The 22,386-nt window shown below is 53.8% G+C and overlaps 1 protein-coding gene across 58 annotated transcripts in view, besides 5 other annotated features; it reads left to right on the top strand.

Annotated features, from left to right (window-relative positions):
* Positions 1-22,386, top strand: part of SEMA4D (semaphorin 4D) — a 137,327-nt gene that overhangs the window by 103,973 nt on the left and 10,968 nt on the right. For 31 of the 58 annotated variants that reach the window (NM_001371194.2, XM_047422607.1, XM_011518125.2 and 28 more), the window contains 10 exons: positions 486-579; positions 1,605-1,718; positions 2,726-2,877; positions 5,094-5,269; positions 5,349-5,505; positions 6,533-6,755; positions 7,659-7,774; positions 12,795-12,967; positions 13,043-13,086; positions 14,512-16,906. In NM_001371194.2, the coding sequence (NP_001358123.1) occupies positions 486-579; positions 1,605-1,718; positions 2,726-2,877; positions 5,094-5,269; positions 5,349-5,505; positions 6,533-6,755; positions 7,659-7,774; positions 12,795-12,967; positions 13,043-13,086; positions 14,512-15,437 (2,175 nt within the window). In that variant the 3' untranslated portion in view covers positions 15,438-16,906. Of the gene's footprint in view, positions 1-485; positions 580-1,604; positions 1,719-2,725; positions 2,878-5,093; positions 5,270-5,348; positions 5,506-6,532; positions 6,756-7,658; positions 7,775-8,035; positions 12,714-12,794; positions 12,968-13,042; positions 13,087-14,511; positions 16,907-17,089; positions 17,309-21,179; positions 21,348-22,386 lie in introns of those variants that run through there. The other 27 variants (XM_047422627.1, XM_047422624.1, NM_001371198.1 and 24 more) reach the window with 5 other exon arrangements.
* Positions 2,436-2,605: an enhancer, noted in NCBI's record as "experimental_108535 CRE fragment used in MPRA reporter constructs". NCBI's record gives its function as "activates a minimal promoter by MPRAs in K562 erythroleukemia cells, with activity observed for the introgressed 9:92006536 variant allele {active_cell/tissue: K562}" and the evidence as "EXISTENCE:reporter gene assay evidence [ECO:0000049][PMID:34662402]".
* Positions 4,557-4,726: an enhancer, noted in NCBI's record as "experimental_108523 CRE fragment used in MPRA reporter constructs". NCBI's record gives its function as "activates a minimal promoter by MPRAs in K562 erythroleukemia cells, with activity observed for both the introgressed and non-introgressed 9:92004415 variant alleles {active_cell/tissue: K562}" and the evidence as "EXISTENCE:reporter gene assay evidence [ECO:0000049][PMID:34662402]".
* Positions 18,106-18,215: an enhancer, noted in NCBI's record as "active region_28531". NCBI's record gives its function as "activates an Ori minimal core promoter by ATAC-STARR-seq in GM12878 lymphoblastoid cells {active_cell/tissue: GM12878}" and the evidence as "EXISTENCE:reporter gene assay evidence [ECO:0000049][PMID:35858748]".
* Positions 18,686-18,745: a silencer, noted in NCBI's record as "silent region_20008". NCBI's record gives its function as "represses an Ori minimal core promoter by ATAC-STARR-seq in GM12878 lymphoblastoid cells {active_cell/tissue: GM12878}" and the evidence as "EXISTENCE:reporter gene assay evidence [ECO:0000049][PMID:35858748]".
* Positions 20,914-20,983: an enhancer, noted in NCBI's record as "active region_28530". NCBI's record gives its function as "activates an Ori minimal core promoter by ATAC-STARR-seq in GM12878 lymphoblastoid cells {active_cell/tissue: GM12878}" and the evidence as "EXISTENCE:reporter gene assay evidence [ECO:0000049][PMID:35858748]".

Below are 22,386 nucleotides of genomic sequence, written 5' to 3'. Positions count from 1 at the left end.
CTGGAGTGTGTTTTGGTGGGTGGAGCGACGTAGAGATTCTGCCTGTTTATGTTTTTCTGCTTCCTATTTATTGGGTCACCTAGCTGCTTAGAATGCCGTCTTTATTGATGTTAAAATTCTGCTCATGGGCTTCCGATTACATACTGAGCACGTCCTGTGTTGGGTTTATCCTGGTGGCTTTCCAGCCCTAGAGCCATCAGCGTTGCCATTTCCATTTTGCAGATGAGTAAATTGAGGGTCTGAGATCTTGAGAAGCTTGGCCAGGGCAACGGAGCAAGGGCACCAAGGTGCTGATGTCTAGACCTGAGCTGAGCAACACAAGCCCTGGCCCTAGTGGGCGGGACTCCTGTAGCTCCACACCTATCTGCTCGGCCCTGTTGGTCTTCCGAGAAGAGCAAATTTGTAAAATGAAGTGGTACAGAGACACATTGTTACTATAGAAATTCAGCCATCTGATGATGTGCTCTCTTTTTATTCAATTGTAGAACTTAACATCCTTTAAGTTTCTGGGGAAAAATGAAGATGGCAAAGGAAGATGTCCCTTTGACCCAGCACACAGCTACACATCCGTCATGGTTGGTGAGTCCTGCCCCTCCAGTTCCTTCACCGTGAAGATTACAGTGGCATGTTAATTACCAAACAGGATATTTGGATCTTCTCTGAAGTGCTGTCTTCCTTGGCTTTGTTTAAATAGGAGCTATCCTTACAAAAGGCACATGTGACTGCATAGACCCTTTAACTTTTGAATTCATTGTTTGCAAGGATAATAGCCGCCATGGTAAACGTCACTTTGTATCCATTGCTGGCTCATGTCATTTGGATAATCCCCGCGTGCTGAGCAGATGCTCCTGTTTGAGAGTAAGGTTTTGACTGAGCCACATGCTGTCTGCAGTGGTCTCTCACCTCTGAGCAAGTGGTCATAGCCTGGTGTGTACCCACTGTTGCATCTGCCAGCATTTTCCTGGATGTGGGAATTCCTTGCTCATGTTTACTTATTGCCCCATGACTCTTAAAATGCAGCTGAACATGGAGCATGAAATTATCCCCATCAAAGTGAGAGCACACCTGTGGTCCTAGCTACTCGGGAGGCTCAGGCGGGAGGACAGGAGTTTGAGACCAGCCTGGGAAACAGCAAGAACTCATCTCAAGCCAGGCTCAGTGGCTCATGCCTCGATCACTTGAGGTCAGGAGTTCAAGACCAGCTGGTCAACAGGGTTAAACCCCATCTCTACCAAAAAATGTAAAAATTAGCCAGACATGGTGGCGCGCACCTGTAGTCCAAGCTGCTTGGGAGGTTGAGGCAGGAGAATTGCTTGAACTGGGAGGTGGAGGTGGCAGTGAGCCAAGATCGCACCACTGCACTCCAGCCTGGGTGACAGAGTGAGACTCTGTCTCAAAACAAAACAAAAAAACCTCATCTCGAAAAAGAAAGAACTAGAAGACACAGGACACCCCAAAAGTTGAGGAGACTGTCTTTCCCTTTCCCCAGGCAGGGACTTAATTGGGTTATAAAGGAAAACACCGTGTTGAATGTTTGTCCCAGTGTTGGTGCCATAGCCTGAGAGGTTGGTTCCCTTTTCCTCTTTTCTTCTGGGCCCCTGCAGATGGAGAACTTTATTCGGGGACGTCGTATAATTTTTTGGGAAGTGAACCCATCATCTCCCGAAATTCTTCCCACAGTCCTCTGAGGACAGAATATGCAATCCCTTGGCTGAACGGTAAGGAAGAGCAGTGCACCTTAGTGGGAGGTGCGTGTCTCCTCATGAGTGCACACCTGTTGATCTCTCCTTTTCTGTCTCTGAGCCCTGGGGGCCCCCGAGCTTGTGTTAGCCCCTGTTTGTGGGGGATACTTCCCAAACTGTCCAGCAATGGCCAGAGTCCCAGGGCACCTTGTTGGGTGTTTTCACTGGTAACAGAGTACTGTTTTAAGACAGCTCCCCACTAACCCCCCAAAAATGGATTTGGGAGACTCTCATAAAATTGAGAATCTGATAGTAGATGGTAAACTAAGACTAATCAGATGGGGACATGGTATAATTTCCAGAATGATATTAAAGTGTGGCACCAACACTGGTGTGGGACCTGCCTCCGGGCCCAGCCTCTAGTGCCCGGTCAGATGGGCTCTGGGTGCCTTGTTGCTGCCAGCAGCACATGTCCGATGTCCGTCTTCAATGTGCAGGAAGAAGCTGGTGGCTGTTCATGGGGGCTTTTCTTGTGGGTGCCAGCCAGTAGAGCCTTGGGTTTTGAACCTCTTGACCTTAGGGCAGATCCCAAGACCCCAGATTCAGGGACAGTCGGCCATTCCTCAGGGTGGGGCAGGATCTGGTGGTTAGAGTTTGTTTATGTGAAGCATGTGTTGTTTAAACCAGCAAATGCATGCCTTACGTAGGTCTCTGATGCTGGTACCATCTGGCTCCCTGCCTTCCAGTCAGGAGGCCCAGCCTCAGTTCTTGGGGTGAACCTGGGTGGGATGCACTGCAGAACCACTGTCGGGGGCACCTCTCTGAGGCCGAGGAGGTGGGGGTAGGGCACCATCTGGGCTCAGGGCTGTCATCATCCTCAGATCCTGGAGTTTCTGTTTGGATTGTGGCATGTGCACACTCCAGACATCCTTGCAGGGAAGCCCTCAGGCCCCCAAGGTAGTGTTGGCCGGCCTCGTGACCTCATGGGTGCAGGCAGTCCCCCAGCTCTGTGTTCTGGGATAATCACTGTCCTCTCTCTGCAGAGCCTAGTTTCGTGTTTGCTGACGTGATCCGAAAAAGCCCAGACAGCCCCGACGGCGAGGATGACAGGGTCTACTTCTTCTTCACGGAGGTGTCTGTGGAGTATGAGTTTGTGTTCAGGGTGCTGATCCCACGGATAGCAAGAGTGTGCAAGGTGAGTGCCAGGCACTCTGGCTTCGCTTGGCCCCTGCCATGGCAATAGTGTGCCTGGATGATGGGTGGCTCCTGACCTTCGTCTCAAATGTCACTTTCCCTAGCACTTTATTCCCTTGGGCCTCAGATGCAGCTCTCAATGGATCTTATTTCTGGGGGTTGTGGGGACTGAGGGAGTGCTGGCCCCCATGTGTGACCCATTAGCCTCCTCTTCTCAGGAGGTTCTTTCTTTTAATGCACCCTCTTCAAACCTCTAGCTTATAAAAAGCAAGGCTTTGTGGAATGTATTCACCAGAGTCTGTTGGAATTTCACCATTTGGCTCTTAATCTACCTAAGAGTGAAACATTAACCGACAGCTTAAGATTAAGAAGAGAGAACCAATACAGAAGTTTGTCAAAACACAAATCTTTAAGTACATTAAAAGGGGAGGGTGCCTTTAAAATGACACACTGTAGGCACAGTGCTCAGCACAAGAGAATGGCCTATGGGCTTGATTACAGGAAATCTCAAGGTTGCTCAGTGGCAGTTTCCAGGAGGTGGATTGTCAGGCCTCAGGGGAGCTGGGGGAAACCACATGAAACACAGCCGCCATGTCCCTGGCCAGGAGCTCATCTCGGAGCAGGTAGCCATTCGTCTCTCATGGAAATTGGTAGATAGTTCTTGCGTGGCCCTTTCTCATGTAGTCATGACCATCAGGACATCAGAGAAGCAGGGTTCCTTTCATGCCTATGGCGCACAAAAGTGGGTGCCTTTGACACCGTTCCCTTAACAGCCCCTTGCATAAGGAAGAAGGTTGGGTGATGTGCACACCTGAGTATCCACCTGGTGCTTTGCTCCCTGCCCAGGCCTTCCGTAGCCAGGGCTCACTGACCAGATCCTCCAGCTGCCCCGCAGCCCCGCAGCCGTGGCTGCCATGCTCCTGTCTTGCAGACCAGGAAACCATCCTATCAACAGTATCAGTGTTGGGGGCAAGCCAGTGCCCCTTGAGATGGGGAGGGTGCTGCAGGGCCAGAGCTCCTGGCAGGCGTGCACAGTGCTCAGAATGCTGTCAGAGCAGCACTGGCCAGGGGACTCGAGCCCTCCCCTGCCATCGGGAAGCCAAGGATCAGACTTGCCTTGACCTTGACTTATTACCCAGCACTGAGGGTTTGCAGCAGGATCAGTGAGCAGATTCAGCGATGCACAGAGCAGCCACCTCCACCCCCGACAAGTTTCTACAAGTCTTAGGCACACTGCTGTCATCCCCTCTGATCCCTTTTTTTTCCCCATACTTGTTTGAACTCCTGGACTAGGGTGGTTTGAGCTTAGGCCCCACAGCTCCTGCCTACCACGCAGGCACACATGAACCCTTCACCTGCTGCCCGTGACCTGAAAGCCACATGAGACCCCTGACGAAAAATGTGCTAGAAATTATTCTTTGCTAAAACATCAAGGAGGAAAATGAAGTCCTTTTATCAAAAAGAGAATTTGGGCTCCTGTAATCACACAGCAGAGATGAAGGGGGAACATTTTCCCTGTGTCCAAAATAAGTAAGGCTGCTTCTATTTCATATTCTTCTGCACTCAGGTTTTGTGGTTTCAGTATTTCTCTCCAGACCACACACAGTCATGTGTAGTTTATAATTGTGTCTTGGTCATCGGATCCCTGAAAAGCGTTTATAAAGAACTTAGGTTCAAAGCACTTTAGCAGATACTTTGGGTAGAAAGGAAGTGAAGGATCTATTCCTTTAAAGGGAGGAAGGTTCACACATTTGCCCAAGACAGGCTGCAGGGCCGGTGGCTGTCCCCTGGAAGGAGGCTGCCGCCACTTGCCCCACCCAGAGCATGTTCATTGATGGGCCCTATGTCAGGAAAGTCACACAATGCCAGGGGCCTTGGCAGTTGGAAGTGTGTGAGCACGGCAGCACCTCTGCGGTTGCAGGACTGAATGCTGGGCACAGGCAGGCATGGACGATCAAATGAGCTTTCAGTGAGAGGGCTTTTGTCCGTTTTGTTTTGTGTGTTAACCCAGGAGCGTTCTGGGATCCAAGCTGGAACCTGGACGTGGTGCTGCGGGCCACTCACATAATTGCGGCATCTGTCTCCTGTTGCCCGAGCTTTGTTTCAGTCAGGCACAGCCGCGCTGTGCTGGGCCATGGAGGGGTGCACCTCTGACCTTAGTGCTTGCTCACAGGGGATCCACTCTCGGCCCACCACGTCTTCTTGTTGGGGTTTTAGGGGGACCAGGGCGGCCTGAGGACCTTGCAGAAGAAATGGACCTCCTTCCTGAAAGCCCGACTCATCTGCTCCCGGCCAGACAGCGGCTTGGTCTTCAATGTGCTGCGGGATGTCTTCGTGCTCAGGTCCCCGGGCCTGAAGGTGCCTGTGTTCTATGCACTCTTCACCCCACAGCTGTAAGTGCCCTGGGTGGAGTCCCCCTCCTTGCTCCCTTGATGCCGCCAGGTGGTCCCGTCACCTCTTTCCCCTCCCCAGGAACAACGTGGGGCTGTCGGCAGTGTGCGCCTACAACCTGTCCACAGCCGAGGAGGTCTTCTCCCACGGGAAGTACATGCAGAGCACCACAGTGGAGCAGTCCCACACCAAGTGGGTGCGCTATAATGGCCCGGTACCCAAGCCGCGGCCTGGAGCGGTGAGCTGGGGCACTGGGGGCGGGCCGTGCTTTCCCTTCAAGGCCCAGGGCATGGAATCCAGTACAGGCACTGGGGCCTGCTCATGGGCTGGGTACCTGGCCACGCCAAGGCTCTCTGCATTGGGACAGGGACGGCCGATGAGCACAGCTCATCCTTCTTCCCTTTTGCATGTTACGTAACAGCCATTGCTACACTATTGCACAAACAAGAAGGCTGGGGCAGCTGTTTTGCACAATTAACATTGCATAACAATTAGGTCTGTTTCATTTTCAGTTTCTTACAGAGAAACACATGATTCCTTGGCAAAGGCCTCTGCACTGTCCACTAGTCAACAGGAGTCACATTTTTTCCTCCTAAATATAGTGAACTTTATGTAGAAATTGGGAATTTCCAGGCCGATTCCTTCCCTCACATGGGGAAATGGGTGTGACAGGCATGTGCACAGCCCTCTGTGGGGCTGTGACCTACATGGGGTGTCCTGGCCCTCAGAGTTCACTGCAGCACCAGCTCCCTCCCAAGGGCAGCTGTCCCTGACACCATCATGGCTCCTTCTATGCATAGCTTCGTAAAATGTGTTCACTCATGGTCACAGATTTTGGTTTACACACATCAGGGAGCTAGAACAGGAAAAAAGAATCCCTCAGGCTCTTATGCTATTTTAAATTGTCCTGGTTTTAGCCATGTTTAGCATTCTTTTCATGAGAAAGCTGCAAATCAGTGTTCTGTTTTTTAATTTCAAAAGCTCAATAAGTGTTTTTCACTTACAAATAGATAAAAATTCCTTCCCTGAGTATGTATCGTGAATGCAATTCTGTCTTGCAGATGTGTTTTATAACTGTGTCCTCTGCTGGCTGGGGAGAGGCCACCTTTCCTCATAGTAAAGTTATTCACTGCTACCCTCATTTCAAGGCATGCATTGTGTGGTTTCCAGGTTTTGCAGCCCCCCCTGCGTTGGCTGCTTGTGTGGAAGCACCCGTTGCGTGGTGGGACACGAGCACGTTAACAGCGGGGATTTTCTCCCTGCAGTGCATCGACAGCGAGGCACGGGCCGCCAACTACACCAGCTCCTTGAATTTGCCAGACAAGACGCTGCAGTTCGTTAAAGACCACCCTTTGATGGATGACTCGGTAACCCCAATAGACAACAGGCCCAGGTTAATCAAGAAAGATGTGAACTACACCCAGATCGTGGTGGACCGGACCCAGGCCCTGGATGGGACTGTCTATGATGTCATGTTTGTCAGCACAGGTGGGTTCCGAGGGCTTGGCAGGCTTGACAGTGACAGCACATCTGTGTCCTCTGGTAGGAAAACTGGGAAATCCAATTATTCTTTCGTGAGTAGTTCCATTGCCTCCCTCGAGGTGACCTGGGAGGTTTGTGGGAGCGTAAGAAGATTTCTGAGAAGTCACCACACCAGGTGGCTTTCAGATCTGGGACCACCAGGCTACTGGAGGTACTTGTTAAAAATAAAAATGCAAGTCCTGGCCTGTGGCTGGGCTGGGCTGGGGCAGAGGAGTACTGGCCGCCGAGGAGTTGGGGCAGTGCCCACGCAGGGGGCAGGTGTGAGCCACCTGGGAGGAGGCGTCAGCCTGGCGTTTCCTGACTGCTGGCAGAGGACCACGTCCCTGCTTCCTGGCCGAGGAGCCAGGTTTTAGATGTGCCCTGGCATGTGGACTCTGAAATAAGCACTTCTGGAACAGGGACAGGGGCCAGGAGCCACGGTGGCTGGCAGCGCATTGTGGCCTGCCCTTGGAGCCTCCCAGCCAACCTCACATGCCCCCTGTCCTCACCGCCTGCCTAGGGCACTTACCAGTGACACCCCGAGGGCTGGTGGAGCATGGGAGCCCCCTCATGTGGCACTTAGCCTCAAGTGTAATGTCGACTGTTGGTGAGGATTCTTGGGGTCAACCATGGAACAGTTTATTTTCCTTGGAAAAAAACTGGAATAACCCATAACACTTGGGTTTCCAGTTGTCTGTTTTGCCAAAGCCTTTTCCTTTTTTTGTTTCTAATGCGAAATCATCATTGTTTTCTAAGTATCTGTGGAGGGAATGACTTGAGAGTGAAGAGTGTGAAGTTTGCCGCTGTGGTCACTGTCCTTGGTTTCTGTGTCTGGGTTAGTGTCACTGACCTGTAGCTTTGGCCCTGCAGACCGGGGAGCTCTGCACAAAGCCATCAGCCTCGAGCACGCTGTTCACATCATCGAGGAGACCCAGCTCTTCCAGGACTTTGAGCCAGTCCAGACCCTGCTGCTGTCTTCAAAGAAGGTAAAGTGACGCAGGCAGCTGGACCGGGGGCTTCTCCGCTCGGTGGCTTTGATTCTAGGTGACAGGAGAGTTGGCAAGCTGGAGTCGGGCTCCTGGGCAGGCCCCTCTGTCTGTCTGCCCTGGGTGAGCCAACCTTCAGAGTTTGACACAGAGCCATTCCGTGAGCTGTGGGATCTGAATTGGGGAAGGCAGGAAGGCAGACCTGGGGAGACGGGACTTTCTCTTCGAAGTTGCTGGAATGTCATTGAGTTGTTGGTGCAGCTTTACAGGCTGTGGAGAGGTGGGCACTGCTCCATGAAGACACCTTTTTATGCCCTGAGCTTGGGGGGTGTGCAGACTGCATCTGTGGGATATGATAGTGATACAGCTGACTCGTCACCGTGGAAAATCCACAAGAGAAGTGGTTCGTCTCATCTGTAAAGCTGTCTCCACCTGTGGCTGAGACTCTGGTCTGGCCTGCAATACTCCCAAGCAGCCCTTGGCAGGGGTGGGTGGGCGGGCATCCACGCTGGCCTTTAGGGGGCTGCCTCCCTGGCCCTGGCTCCTAACGGGACCTCCAACCACCTTGTGGGATCCAGGCCCAGTCAGTCCTCTCCTCCCTCAGCTGGGAGCAACAGGCAGAGGAAGAGGGCCCCTGTCTGGCCGGGTAAGATACCTACCCTTGGCAGGTGCGTATTTGCAAACACCCCTCCAGGTCTTCTGTCCTCTTCCCTCCCCTGTATCCACAAAGCTTGGGAGCCTGGGTCCTTTTACGTGGTCACCTCCCCTCTGCTAATGGAGAGTTCTCCCTCAGATCTGAAAGGAAAAGAGAATGAAATAGCCTGAGCAAGTTATAAGCCACTGGGTACTGGCATCTGTTCACCAGCCTCTCGGTCTCCAGGACACAAAGGGAGCCCTGGAGATTTGAAGGGTCGACGCTTTAGCCACTGTGGGGCCTCACCCCAGCCTCGTTGTTGAAAGAAGGGGACCCAGAAGCTCTTCTGGGGCCATCGTGCTGTTCAGTGGCCTCAGCCAGACTGGGCAGGCACCTACAACATCTCTAAAATGTGGACTTCTCATTAGAATGAAGATTGGGCCCCTGGTGTGGACATTCGTGAGAATGACACTCTGTTCCAAGGGTCACTTAGGGACCCAGGCTGGTGGAGGCTTCCAGGGCACATGGGCACTGATCCTCAAAGGCAGAAGGGGGTAGGAAGAGGAGGGCCGCACAGAGGGGGTTACGGGTCAGTGCCCACCCGCCATCTCCCAGAACTCGGTCACATGGCCACACCAGGGCAGCTGGCCACACAGGGAGCCTCGCGCCCAGGAGGAGGAGCCAGTGGGTTTGGGGAAGCGCTTGCTGGTCCTACTGGACCACCCGACCCGCCTGTCTCTGTAGGAGCCTCCATTCGTGGGGACGTGGCTTAGTTGCCTGGACAAGCGGAAATACATCCTGCCTGCCGTGGGGTCCTGTGCCTTCTCCTTGGGCCTCAGTAGGCTCCAGGTGGGGGTGGAAGGCCCAGCTCCATGGCCATGGCAGCAGGAAGTGGCTGTTCAGTGGTAAAAAGACTGTGCCGCCTGACCCCATCAGGCTCTCTCACGGTGATCAGCAAATGGAGAAACGGCCAGTACCACGCCCTCCCCCTGTCCTACAGCTGGGGAGGTGCGCTGTGCCTCCACCCTCACCTCCTCTCCCCTGATGACAAGCATGGGGTTTTGCTTTTTATTTTGGTAAATACACATCAGATGAAATTTGCCGTCTTAACCATTTTTCATTGTGCACGTCAGTGGCATTAAGAACATTCACGTTGTTTTGCAGCCATTACCACTGTCTGTCTGCAGGGTGCTTTTCATCTTCCCAAACAGAAGCTTTTTACCTGTGAAATACAAACTCTTCATTTTCCCCTCCTCCAGCCCTGGGCAGCCGCCATTCTGCTTTCTGTTTCTGTCTGGGTACCTCATATGAGTGGAATCACACAGTATTTATCCATTTGTAACTGGCTTATTTCACTTAACATAAAGTCCTCAAGGTTCCTCCCTGCTGTAGCAGGGGTCAGGGTTTTCCAAGGCTACATACTCCTCTGTCGTATGTGAATACCGCATTTTGTGAGTCCCGCATTTTGTGTGTGCGTTCATCCCTTGATGGACACGGTTGCTCCCACCTTCTGGCTTCTGTGAACAGTGCTGCTGTGAACGTGGGTGTGCAGATACCTCAAGTCCTTGCTTTCCATTCCTTGGGCGCACACAGCAGATGCGGTTTGCTCGGCCCTCTCTGAGCCCACCGAGTAGGCTGTGTCTGTATTTTCACCAGGACTCCTTGGGATGCTGAGCTACAGCTAGCGTGGCAGAGGGCAAGGAAGGCACTTAGACAGCTCAGTTGCCTCTGATCACGTCCACCGTCACTCCAACCTGCCCTCGGGGTCTGACGCGCACACACAGCAGCAGAGACAGAGATGGGAGCATGAGAGCTGCCTGCAAGGGGACAATCCTCAGGCCCAGGGAAGGCGGAGACAGGGGGCGTCGAGGGGCAGGAGTGCACAGGACAGGCTTGCTCTCAGCGGGCCTCACTCATGCTGCCAGGTGCCTGGTCAGGCTTTTTTTCTTTGCCTTTAAAAATTTTGTCTTGAAATAATTTTAAATTTACAGAAGAGTTTTGATGATTGCACAGAAGGATCTTGAGCGCCCCCACCTAGCTCCACATGTCCGATGTCTCACATAGCCAGTGTGCATTTATCTGAGCCAAGGTGCTGTCATGGTGCAGTGCGTTACCTGAACCCCAGACCCTGGACCCTCCTACCTCCCGCCCACCACATTCCTGGCTCAGCACCTCAGGTTGCACTGGACACTGCATCTCCTCGGCTTCTGCTCTGTTCCTGCCTCCCTGACCTCAGCACTCCTGGAGAGGAGTAGTCTGGTGTTTTGTGGTGTGTCTGGTGTATTCTTGTGATTATCTTGGGGTCGTGGTTTTAGGGGGAGCACCAAAGAGGGCGCTTTCTGGGGATGGGGCATCTGTATGACTCGCACCAGCGTGATGACCTTGGTCATTCTGTCCAAGTCACCACCGTCTTTTTCCATGTCGAGTGTGTCGGGGCATGTAGTCCACACTGGGGGTGGGGGAGAGTGAGCCCCACCTCCCAGGGGAGTCATGTGGGAAACCCCCACAGTCATTCATGCTTATTTGCAGGGACAGACTTGGAGGCTACAGAAATGCCCTGTTCTCCCACCCACTGACATCCACATCGACCAGTGGGTCCTGCCTGCAGCAGTTACAGCTGGCTGTCCTGACGACCAGTTCCTCCTTCCCTGTCCCCTCTTCCCTTCCACAGTCATCCCTTGGTCTCTGTGTGGCGTCGTTTAGTTTTTACAGCTTAGTTTCATTTGGGCTGCAGCCCAGCCCCATCCGGGAGAAGCGGAAGCTGGGGCTGAGTCTCCCGCAGGGTGCAGGAGGTGGTCTGGATCCCCTTGGGACAGGCCTTGCCCCCCAGAGCCCACCCCACCCTCCACAGCTACCCTCAAGCCTCTCTTTGGGGTGAGGAGTCAGGCGGGCCCCACTTGGCCACCCAGGGCACCCTGCTCTGCACTGCATGGTGTTCACGCCACCTCGCAGGTGCCCCCCGCGGGACCCAACAGGACCAGCTGTCCCTTGGAAGTTACCCAGCTTGGCTTTGCTGCCAGAGAATGTTTCCGCCACCTCCACAAGCCGCGCGATGCCCGAACTGTGATCTGGGATGTCATCCTCAATCCTTCCCACAAACGTGGCTCACACATGGCCTCATCTGCCCAGGTCTCTGCTGCTGCTGCTGCTGTGAGGCCAGCGGCGGGCCAGGTTCCCTCTGCTGTGTATTATCACAGTTTCCATCCTTGGGGGCTTTCCCTTTCTCTCGTGGGTCTGTGTCCGCACAGCTGGATGTGTGGCCTGGGGCTTCCTGTATTGGCATCAGGGCCTGTGATCTTCCAACCACACTCTGAAGTTGACTCCGAGCGTATCCTCTGAGGATGAAGGTCGTGTTTCATCTGACTGTAAACCACTAAGTCATGTGTAAATTTGGGAATCTTGTATTGTTAACCAAAAGGTGTCCCCAGGCTGTTGAGGCAGATGCCCTGGGCAGAGGCTAGAGAGCGCGCTCCACGGGCCACCTCCAGGTCTGTTGCACGCCCCCGAGCTTCAGGTGGGTGCACTGCATGTGGGGCACCCTCCTTCCAGCTGAGTTCCGTTCAAAAGCAGTCAGCAGCCCTGGATGCCTGTGTGCTGGGCACTGCTGGTGCCAGGTGGGCTGATGGGATGGACCTGAAGCTGGTGTCACTGGGAACCAAGTGTCCCAGAAGGTGGGAGAGTCTCACCTGCCCTCTGCTGTGGGTGTGGCTGCTCTGGAGCTCGGAGGTTGACTTCCCGTCTGTGAGCTCTTCCCTTTTACATATAGATAAGTGAAAAGCAAAAGGCATTGTTCCTTTTTTATGTTTTGTATCACGATCTCCTCATCCTTTGCATGTCGTCCGTTTGGCATCCCTGTTATGTTAGGCCTCTGCTGGATCCAGACCCTCACGAGAGGCTCCCCGCCCACAGGTGCTCACATTCTGGCTCGGGGGACGAGGTTGGGCTTCGAGGTGGTGTGCTTCAGCCTCTGGCTGCAGCCCCTTCTCACCTATAGTGAGGCCGGGAAGATGACCGGGAGTGCCAGGCTCATGCATCCTCTGCTGCAGGGAGGAGATCTGGAGGTGGGGACTGAACAGCCTCCCCACTGGCTAAGAGAAACACGTGCAGAGAAGCGCTTTGCTGGAGGGCAGGCACCTGTGGGTGCCCAGACAGGGGAGAGAGGGATTTGGACCTAAGGCCCAGTGAGCCCTGACATAGCACGTGGATTCTGCAGGAAGGTCACAGACCTGCCTTGTTTGCCTCTGGTTCTGAGTACCTCTCCTCCTTACTGCAATGTCCCCTGAAGGTACACTCTGGCTGCTTCCCACACACTGGTGCAGAAGCAGAGGCCATGCTCCTGGATGCCTGCTTGCCTGATGCTAGTTCTTCTCTGTCTCATACACGCAGGGCAACAGGTTTGTCTATGCTGGCTCTAACTCGGGCGTGGTCCAGGCCCCGCTGGCCTTCTGTGGGAAGCACGGCACCTGCGAGGACTGTGTGCTGGCGCGGGACCCCTACTGCGCCTGGAGCCCGCCCACAGCGACCTGCGTGGCTCTGCACCAGACCGAGAGCCCCAGCAGGTATGGGGCGGGATGCGCTGCCTGGGGATGTCCCCCATGTGTGTGGGTGAATAACACGTGCCGGTTGTTTTGCAGGGGTTTGATTCAGGAGATGAGCGGCGATGCTTCTGTGTGCCCGGGTGAGTGACTCCTCGACGTCCCATTTCCTTTGGGAGTGGCGAGGTCTTGTAGCCATTTCACGGTGCTTCAGTTCTGTGGCATTTGTGTGTGTTTTGTTTTTCTTTCTCCACTCGGAACAGAGGTCAAGTGTTCTGTAGCAGACTCGTGGTCTTCTCTGTCTTTTTTTCTTGCCGAAAGAGTACTTGAAGCCACTTAGAGTGTATCTGCTTACTGGGAAGCAGTCTCCTTCCAAAACCATCCTGTTTTCTTTCTGCTTAGCTTGGGGCTCATTAAGCAAAACCTAAGCCTGTTATAAATGGGGAGAAAGGAGCCCATGAGTGATTAATCCTCAGGCAGTGTAAGGGCTGGGGTGGTGTTTCCCCTGGGGCTCCCACCTGGGATTCACCCGCCTGTGGATGTCTGAAATAGCACCACACCCAGAGGGAGGGGTGGCATCAGGCCAGATGCCCCTTCCCCAGCAGCCACCTTCCAGGGTGCTAAAGGCAGACTTGACCCTCAGTTCTGTGTCTTCCTGACCCTGACAAGACAGCTGTCATCAGACTAAGAAAGGTTTAGGCAGCTGGGCATGGTGGTACACGCCTGTAGTCCCAGCTACTAGGGAGGCTGAGGCAGGAGGATTGCTTGTGCCCAGGGGTTCAAGGCTCAGTGAGCTTATCATGCCACTGCACTCCAGCCTGGGGTGACAAAGTGAGACCCAGACTCTAAAAAGAAAACAAAAGCTGGCCGGGCACAGTGGCTCATGCCTGTAATCCCAGCATTTTGGGAGTCTGAGGCAAGAGGATCACTTGAGCTCAGGAGTTCGAGACTACCCTGGGCAACGTGGTGAGACCCTGTCTCTACAAAAAATACAAAAATTAGCCAGGCCTGGAGGTGGTCACCTGTAGTCCCAGCTACTCTGGAGACTGAGGTGGGAAGATCCCTTGAGCTGGGGGGGTTGAAGCTGCAGTGAGCTGTGATTGCACCACTGCACTCCAGCCTGGGCAACAGAGCCAGACCCTGTTTCAAAAAAAAGAAAAAAAAGAAAAGTTTAGGCAGGAGGAGAGTGCTGAGATGCACTGAAAGGCCAGTCTTCCTTGCAGCCATTAGCAGAAGCGTCTCGTGTCTGATTCAAAGAGCTGACACTAGGCACAGAACTGGCCTCTGCTCAGCTTCCCCAGCCTGACGCGTTTTCTTCTGGGACACGGGTGAGAAATGGGATTTCTGCTGCTCAGAGCTGCCTCCAATTTCTTTGTCCCCATGGGCTGTCATCCAGGGCTCATCTTTGCTTTTTGGTCACGCATGTCTTTATCTCCTTAGTTGTTCTGGAAGATTCCATGTTGCTACAGTGGGTGAAACTCTTGCGTCATCTTGTGGGTATTTTAAAGAAGTTGTTAAATAGCAAATGGGGATTGTTGACGCTGTGCACGTTTATTTTGATGTTCCAGATAAAAGTAAAGGAAGTTACCGGCAGCATTTTTTCAAGCACGGTGGCACAGCGGAACTGAAATGCTCCCAAAAATCCAACCTGGCCCGGGTCTTTTGGAAGTTCCAGAATGGCGTGTTGAAGGCCGAGAGCCCCAAGTACGGTCTTATGGGCAGAAAAAACTTGCTCATCTTCAACTTGTCAGAAGGAGACAGTGGGGTGTACCAGTGCCTGTCAGAGGAGAGGGTTAAGAACAAAACGGTCTTCCAAGTGGTCGCCAAGCACGTCCTGGAAGTGAAGGTGGTTCCAAAGCCCGTAGTGGCCCCCACCTTGTCAGTTGTTCAGACAGAAGGTAGTAGGATTGCCACCAAAGTGTTGGTGGCATCCACCCAAGGGTCTTCTCCCCCAACCCCAGCCGTGCAGGCCACCTCCTCCGGGGCCATCACCCTTCCTCCCAAGCCTGCGCCCACCGGCACATCCTGCGAACCAAAGATCGTCATCAACACGGTCCCCCAGCTCCACTCGGAGAAAACCATGTATCTTAAGTCCAGCGACAACCGCCTCCTCATGTCCCTCTTCCTCTTCTTCTTTGTTCTCTTCCTCTGCCTCTTTTTCTACAACTGCTATAAGGGATACCTGCCCAGACAGTGCTTGAAATTCCGCTCGGCCCTACTAATTGGGAAGAAGAAGCCCAAGTCAGATTTCTGTGACCGTGAGCAGAGCCTGAAGGAGACGTTAGTAGAGCCAGGGAGCTTCTCCCAGCAGAATGGGGAGCACCCCAAGCCAGCCCTGGACACCGGCTATGAGACCGAGCAAGACACCATCACCAGCAAAGTCCCCACGGATAGGGAGGACTCACAGAGGATCGACGACCTTTCTGCCAGGGACAAGCCCTTTGACGTCAAGTGTGAGCTGAAGTTCGCTGACTCAGACGCAGATGGAGACTGAGGCCGGCTGTGCATCCCCGCTGGTGCCTCGGCTGCGACGTGTCCAGGCGTGGAGAGTTTTGTGTTTCTCCTGTTCAGTATCCGAGTCTCGTGCAGTGCTGCGTAGGTTAGCCCGCATCGTGCAGACAACCTCAGTCCTCTTGTCTATTTTCTCTTGGGTTGAGCCTGTGACTTGGTTTCTCTTTGTCCTTTTGGAAAAATGACAAGCATTGCATCCCAGTCTTGTGTTCCGAAGTCAGTCGGAGTACTTGAAGAAGGCCCACGGGCGGCACGGAGTTCCTGAGCCCTTTCTGTAGTGGGGGAAAGGTGGCTGGACCTCTGTTGGCTGAGAAGAGCATCCCTTCAGCTTCCCCTCCCCGTAGCAGCCACTAAAAGATTATTTAATTCCAGATTGGAAATGACATTTTAGTTTATCAGATTGGTAACTTATCGCCTGTTGTCCAGATTGGCACGAACCTTTTCTTCCACTTAATTATTTTTTTAGGATTTTGCTTTGATTGTGTTTATGTCATGGGTCATTTTTTTTTAGTTACAGAAGCAGTTGTGTTAATATTTAGAAGAAGATGTATATCTTCCAGATTTTGTTATATATTTGGCATAAAATACGGCTTACGTTGCTTAAGATTCTCAGGGATAAACTTCCTTTTGCTAAATGCATTCTTTCTGCTTTTAGAAATGTAGACATAAACACTCCCCGGAGCCCACTCACCTTTTTTCTTTTTCTTTTTTTTTTTTTAACTTTATTCCTTGAGGGAAGCATTGTTTTTGGAGAGATTTTCTTTCTGTACTTCGTTTTACTTTTCTTTTTTTTTAACTTTTACTCTCTCGAAGAAGAGGACCTTCCCACATCCACGAGGTGGGTTTTGAGCAAGGGAAGGTAGCCTGGATGAGCTGAGTGGAGCCAGGCTGGCCCAGAGCTGAGATGGGAGTGCGGTACAATCTGGAGCCCACAGCTGTCGGTCAGAACCTCCTGTGAGACAGATGGAACCTTCACAAGGGCGCCTTTGGTTCTCTGAACATCTCCTTTCTCTTCTTGCTTCAATTGCTTACCCACTGCCTGCCCAGACTTTCTATCCAGCCTCACTGAGCTGCCCACTACTGGAAGGGAACTGGGCCTCGGTGGCCGGGGCCGCGAGCTGTGACCACAGCACCCTCAAGCATACGGCGCTGTTCCTGCCACTGTCCTGAAGATGTGAATGGGTGGTACGATTTCAACACTGGTTAATTTCACACTCCATCTCCCCGCTTTGTAAATACCCATCGGGAAGAGACTTTTTTTCCATGGTGAAGAGCAATAAACTCTGGATGTTTGTGCGCGTGTGTGGACAGTCTTATCTTCCAGCATGATAGGATTTGACCATTTTGGTGTAAACATTTGTGTTTTATAAGATTTACCTTGTTTTTATTTTTCTACTTTGAATTGTATACATTTGGAAAGTACCCAAATAAATGAGAAGCTTCTATCCTTGATTTGGGGAAGACATTCCTTAGCGGAGGCTGTGCAGCCTCCCGCCCCTGCATGGCCCAGGCGGGACAGCTGGGCTCGCTCTTTTCTGTCCGTTTCCTGCTGTGTTTTGCCCTCTCTGGCCTGTGACGTGCTCCTGGCGACTTCTTCCTCAGTGCCCTCTCTTTTCTGTCCTCTCTGTCTCACAGCCTCGTCTCCTAAGCCCCTCCCTCCTCCTGGCTCCTCTTCCCTGTCCTGTCTGGGCCATGTGGGGGACAGGAGGCTTTCCTCTCCCTGGACCCCCTGGCCAGCCTCGGGTGCGGGGCCCGACAGCAGCTCGAGGGTCTCCTTGCTGCCGCCCTTCCTGAGTGACCAGGCACAGCACGTGCACGCCCTGGGGAACTTCTACCTCTTCTGCCAGGCCACAGGTGAGTTGGGCCCTCTCTGTCCCCTGTGCCCTGTCCATCTGTCTCCTCCCACAGGTGGGGGGCGGGCGGGGGCATCCTCCACATCCCTCCACATGTTCCTTTACCTTCCTTATCTGTCCTGGCTGCGTCCCTCGGGTTGAGCCGTTTCACGCTTTCATTGTGGGTCCATCCCGAGGGAAACTGTAGACAGTGTGAAGCCACTTCTAGTGTACAGGGGTCAACCAGTGTTTTCTGTAAAGGGCTAGATATTTAGGCCTTGTGGGCTGCAGGCTGTGTCACAGCCACTAAGCTCTGCTGTTGTATTGTAAAACCAGCCATAGTCAATACACAACGAGTGGTCAGGGCTGTGTGCCAGTAAAACTTTATTTATAAAAATGCACGGTGGGCCAGATTTGCCCCAAAGGCCCCAGTTTCCCAACCTGTGGTATATAGGATTGCTTCTCCCTTAAAAAAAAAAAAAATTTCAAGAGACAGGGTCTCCCTCTGTCACCAAGGCTGGAGTGCAGTGACACAATCATAGCTCACTGCAGCCCCTGCCTCCTGGGCTTAAGCCATCCTCCTGCCTCAGCCTCCAGAGCCAGAGTGCTTCTATTTCTGCTAACAATTTGGAGGTTGATATACGTGGTATTTGGAAATTTTAAAAAATTAAGAGCTTCCAGAATGGGAGTTGTTTTAATGACTTGCTTCGTGGTATTTAAAAGCGGAAAAGATTGGCGGGCATAATCCCCCTGCTTTGGGAGGCCAAGGCAGGAGGATTGCTTGAAGCCAGGAGTTTCACAGCAGCTTGAGCAACATAGCGAGACCTGATCTCTACCCAAAAATGTGAAAAAAACTAACCAGGCTTGGTGGCACGTGCCTTGAGGATTGTTTGAGCCCAGGAGTTTGAGGTTACAGTAAGGTATGATGGTGCCACTGCACTCCAGCCTAGATCACAGAACAAGACCCTGTCTCAAAAATCATCATCATTATAAAAACAGAAAAGATTGAGAGTCTAGTGTACTCCTCTGGGACCTGGAGGCATTTGCCCTGGATTGGAAAATACTCGGATGGGATATCTGCTCTTGAAAGATAGTAGATGTCCAGAACCACACTTCAAAGATGTATCCTGTGCTTCAGGCAGTGCGTGGTAGCCCTGGTGGCCCCTGTGTTGTCATCTGACTGATCAGTAGATACAGAAAGAAAGGAAGTGGCCTGTTAGAGCCTGCCCCGGGGGAGGGATGAAGTTAATGAAGAGGAAAAGCAAACCCAATTGCTCTCTTTTTAAACATGTTAAACACACTGTCAGTAGCTCCTGAGAGTTTTAAGGTGCTGCCCTCTCCTGTTAAACAAGCTCTGAGAGCCCCAGGTGGCCCATGTCTGCTGAGGCCAGAATGTCCCTTGGCAGCCAGCACTGGACAGGAGAAGCTGCCGGTGAGCATGGAGCACTGTGGAGACGGAGCTTTGCTAGGCTGGCTTGTGTGGTTCCTGCCCTCCACTGGGTGCTACGGACCAAGGCTGTGCTGAGCCCCCTGTGGCCGCTCTCACAGCTGAATGGTGCTCCTCGGCCAGCTAGTTTGCCTTGGTGCAGGCATCCCAGAGGACTTCATGTCTCCATGGAGACTGTGTCCTGTCGCAGCACTGGGGTCCTTCAGGCAGACTCAGGAAGCTCCTCCTCGGTGGGGAGGCTGGGAAGCGGGCGGGTCTCTATGAACTGGCCGTGGACCCAGGGCTCCTTTGCGGGCAGATGCAGGCAGGCTGTATGGTCAGGCAATGTTGGTTGGTTATTTATTTATTTATTTTTGAGGCAGAGTCTTGCTCTGTTGCCCAGGCTGGAGTGCAGTGGCACGATCTTGGCTCACTGCAAGCTTCGCCTCCCAGGATCAAGCGATCCTCCTGCATCAGCCCCCCTAGTAGCTGGGATTACAGGCACACCTCACCATGCCCAGCTAATTTTTGTATTTTTAGTAGAGACAGGGTTTCGCCATCTTGGCCAGGCTGGTCTCAAACTACTGACCTCAGGGGATCCACCTGCCTTGGCCTCCCAAAGTGCTGGGATTACAGGCATGAGCCACCATGCCCGGCTGCTGTTACATTTTTAAATGTGAGGCTCCAGGTGTACCCCCTGTAGCTAGGCAGGCATACACACAAGCCCCTGGGGTCAGCAGGGAATGAAAGATGGGTGCCCAGGGAGAAGGGACATCACTGTTACAGCAACAGAAACCACCCCAGATATTTCAACCACAGGGCATTTAACACAGGGAATTGGTTACAAAGGTGATAGAAGGGCTGGGAACAGTGGGAAGGTGAGGTTTCCATTATCAGCCATGGGCAGGAAGAGTGAAGTGTCAAACACTCAGTCTCACTTGCTGTGCCACCGAGGCTGTGGCCGTGTGATCTGCAGCCTCTCCCTGCCCGCCACACTGCCTTCACTGCTGGAGGTCCTACTTGAAGCCACAAAAATGTTTCTTCCTTCCAACTTCCTGTCTCCTGTCAATGACTCCCATGGCCAGACCTAACAGAAAGCTGGCGGTCACAGATGGATATGGGGAATGTAGCTGTGGGCTTGCAGCAGTGTGGCCAGGAGTAGTGTGTAGAGGGTAGGGGAGCTGAGGGAGGAGGGCAGTCCTTTGCCAGTGCTCAGGATGGACTGAACAGATTGAGAACTGAGGCCCCCAGCCCTCCGCCACCCCCTTTTCACGTGGTCTTTACTTTCTCTCCAGAGGCATTTGGCCCCATCTGGGACATTCTCGTTCACTTGTTCCACTGAGGCCACAGCCTGCGAAGGCTGTGAGACCTCCCCAGGGAGCACCAGCTTAGGAGAGAGTGGCTTCAGCCTTTTCAAGGGTGGGCCGAGGCCAGGGCATCATGGGCATGCCGTGAACTCAGAGGGGCTGTGGCTGTGAATTTCCCGAGTAGGCTCCAGGGTTCTGTTGGGGTCTGTAGATGCTTCCTGCGACAGAGGCCACAGTGTGACTTGCAAGTCCCAGAGACTTTCCTGAGGAGAGTGAGTGCCATTTTCTGCCTTGTGGGCCAGGAATGAGCCATTCCAGGTGAGGCCCAGAGCCTGGAGATTGCAATACAGTGCACTCAAGGCACAGGCCTACCGCTTCTGCCTGTGTCCTCCCCCAGCCACCCAGGGCAGGGCTGCTTTGGAACTTGGCTGGGTTTTTCTTTGCTATAATGGCTGTTTTCGTGGTAGCTGTCACAGTGGTTTGGGGGCTGTCTGATTAAAGGGCTAGCAAAGTGTCTTTAGAATATGAAACTTAAGAGGACATTCGTGGCATCTTCAGTTCCCCATGCTGCGTCCTGGTGCCTGTAGCTCTGCTGGGTGACCCTGTGTCTTGGGGAGCGTCTCACCCCCCAGAGAGGGCTGACTGATGGAAGGTCAGCTGGTCAGGGTTGCACTTGGGGACTGGGTCTGCCCCAGAGCTGGTGGAGGCCCATGTGTCACCCAGGAGATGTCCCCACCTGCCCCAACACTTGGCCAGTGCTCAGAAAGTGGCCCCAGGGACTTGGCCATCCAGGAGAGGTGAGGGCCCTCTGAGGCCAAAGCGCTTCCTGAAAGGGGATCGGGGTGGGTCTGCACAGGGGAAAACATAGCCTGTGGTGTGTGCAGAGGCTGCCAGGGCACAAGGGCCCAACGTGGGGTGCGGTGGAGGTGATGTGGCCACGTGGGCGGAGTAGGGCGGAGAGGCCTGTGTCCTGGGGATGCGAGAGCTTGAGGCCTGGTGGTGGGGTGGAGGCCCACCCTTGTCCTGCACCCAGGGGCCTCAGTGCCCATCCAAGGGAGGGACAGGGCCACACCTGTGGGCCTGTGTCAGGAGCTGGGGTGGGAGATTGGCCACCAGTGCCACTCTCCACCTAGACACATTTCATCCCTTCTCCACCACAGTTCTCGCCTCTAGGAAGTGGAATTATCAGTGGAAGATGATACGGAAAGATCCACTGATGGCCCTGGCACAGGCCAGCCTTGTCCCTGGGGCAGGATGGGACGGTCCTGAGAAGGCCCTGGGACACCCTAGGGGTGTCATAGTGGGAACTATGCCTTTGCAGTGCCCAGGTGAGACAGCACATGGTGTCACCCCAAGCATGGTACCCTGGGCTCAGTGACAAGAGGGGTGGGCAGGTCAGGACTGCACTGCCTTGGGGCCCGTGCCCTGGGAGCCGCTAGCCCTATGATCCTGAGTCCTGGGGGACTGAGTGCATCGGCAGGGCCTGGAGCAGCTGGGAGTGGCCGACTGCCTCAGTGTGCACTGTGGCCGCACAGGAGGGACAGCGGCCTTGAGAGTGTTCAGAGCTGTTGCACAGCCATCCTGCACCGCGTTGGCCCTGGGATGGACTGCTGTCTAAGCTTTGTCATGCGGCTAGCAATGCACATTTACTATAGTCAGTCACCCTGGTACCAGCCGTGAAGGACGGGCAGGGACACACACACCACACCCCAGACACACACACACCCCCGACACACCACACCCCAGACACCACATCCCAGACACACACCACACCACACCCCCCCACACACACCTCAGACACCACACCCCCGACCCACACCACACCCCATACACACCCCCGACACACACCACACCCCACACACCCACCACAGCCCAGACACACCACACCCCAGACACACACCACACCCCCCAGACACACACCACACCCCCCACACACACCACACCCATCACACCCCCCACACACACACCCGACACACACCACGCCCCCCAACACACACACCCCACACACCACACCCATCACACCCCCCACACACACACCCGACACACACCACGCCCCCAACACACCACACCCGACACACACACCCCAACACACACCACACCCCAGACACACACCACACCCCAGACACACACCACACCCCAGACACACACCACACCCCACACACACCACACCCCACACACACCACACCCCACACACACCACACCCCACACACCACACACATACCACACCCCAGACACCACACACATCACACCCCCCCACACACACCTCAGACACCACACCCCCAACACACACCACACCCCAGACACACACACCCCCCACACACACACCCCAAACACACCCCGACACACACCACACCCCCCACACACACA

The sequence above is a fragment of the Homo sapiens genome, chromosome 9 (genome assembly GCF_000001405.40).
Source record: "Homo sapiens chromosome 9, GRCh38.p14 Primary Assembly".
Classification (NCBI taxonomy): Eukaryota; Metazoa; Chordata; class Mammalia; order Primates; family Hominidae; genus Homo; species Homo sapiens.
This window is presented reverse-complemented; position numbering and strand designations above follow the sequence as displayed.